Source organism: Homo sapiens, chromosome 1 (assembly GCF_000001405.40).
Source record: "Homo sapiens chromosome 1, GRCh38.p14 Primary Assembly".
NCBI classification, from domain to species: Eukaryota; Metazoa; Chordata; class Mammalia; order Primates; family Hominidae; genus Homo; species Homo sapiens.
In genome coordinates, this window is record NC_000001.11 from 214726632 (window position 1) to 214727989 (window position 1358).

The window sequence follows — 1358 nt, forward strand, 5'->3', positions numbered from 1 at the left end:
TTAGCTCTGAGGAGTTTGTTATTACCTACCTTTTGAAGCCTACTTCTGTCAATTTGTCAAACTCATTCTCTGTCCAGTTTTGTTCCCTTGTTGGTGAGGAGTTGTGATCCTTTGGAGGAGAAGAGGTGTTCTGGTTTTTGGAATTTTCAGACTTTTTGTGCTGGTTTCTCCCCATCTTCATGGATTTATCTACTTTTGGTCTTTGAAGTTGGTGACCTTTGGATGGGGTCTCTGAGTGAATGTCCTTTTTGTTGATATTGATACTATTCTTTTCTGTTTGTTAGTTTTCCTTCTCACAGTCAGGCCCCTCTGCTGCAGGTCTGCTGGGGTTTGCTGGAGGTCCGCTCCAGACCCTGTTTGCCTGGGTATCACTGGCAGAAGATGCAGACCAGCAAAGATTGCTGCCTGTTCCTTCTTCTGGAAGCTTCATCCCAGAGGGGCACCCACCAGATGCCAGCCAGAGCTTTCCTATATGAGGTGTCTGTTGGCTCCTACTGGGAAGTGTCTCCTAGTCAGGATACATGGGGGTCAGGGACCCACTTAAGGAGGCAGTCTGTCCCTTATCAGAGCTCGAACGCTGTGCTGGTAGATCTGCTGCTCTCTGTTTAAGTCTTCTGAAGCTGTGTCCACAATCACCCCTTCCCCCAGGTGTTCTGTCCCAGGGAGGTGGGGCTTTTATCTATAATTCCCTGACTGGGGCTGCTGCCTTTTTTTCAGAGATGCCCTGTCTAGAGAGGAGGCAGTCTGGCCGCAGGGTTTTGCTGAGCTGGGGTGGGCTCCACCTAGTTTGAACTTCCCTGTGGCTTTGTTTACACTGTGAGGGTGAAACGCCTACTCACGCCTCAGCAATGGTGTATGCCCCTCCCCCACCAAGCTCAAGCATCCCAGGTCGAGCTCAGACTGCTGTGCTGGCCGCGAGACTTTCAAGTCAGTGGATCTGAGCTTGCTGGGCTCCGTGGGGGTGGGACCCACCAAGCTAGACCACTTGGCTCCCTGGCTTCAGCCCCCCTTCCAGGGGAGTGAATGGTTCTGTCTCTCTGGCGTTCCAGTCACCACTGGGGTATGAAAGAAAGCTCCTGCGCCTAGCTCAGTGTCTGCCCAAATGGCTGCCCGGTTTTGTGCTGGAAACCCAGGGCCCTGGTGGCGTGCGCACTGGAAGGAATCTCCTGGTCTGTGGGTTGCAAAAACTGTAGGAAAAGTGCAGTATCTTGCCCAGAGTGCACGGTACAGTCCCTAATGGCTTCCCTTGGCTGGGAGATGGAGTTCCCCGACCCCTTGCACTTCCCAGGTGAGGCAATGCCCCACCCTGCTTTGGCTCGCCCTCCTTGGGCTGCACCCACTGTCCAACCAGTCCCAAT

General features: G+C 53.2%; 1 annotated feature.

Annotated features, from left to right (window-relative positions):
* Window positions 576-1112: an enhancer, noted in NCBI's record as "H3K27ac-H3K4me1 hESC enhancer chr1:214900550-214901086 (GRCh37/hg19 assembly coordinates)". NCBI's record gives its function as "activates a minimal SCP1, AML or CMV promoter by ChIP-STARR-seq in primed H9 embryonic stem cells {active_cell/tissue: H9 hESC(primed)}" and the evidence as "EXISTENCE:reporter gene assay evidence [ECO:0000049][PMID:30033119]".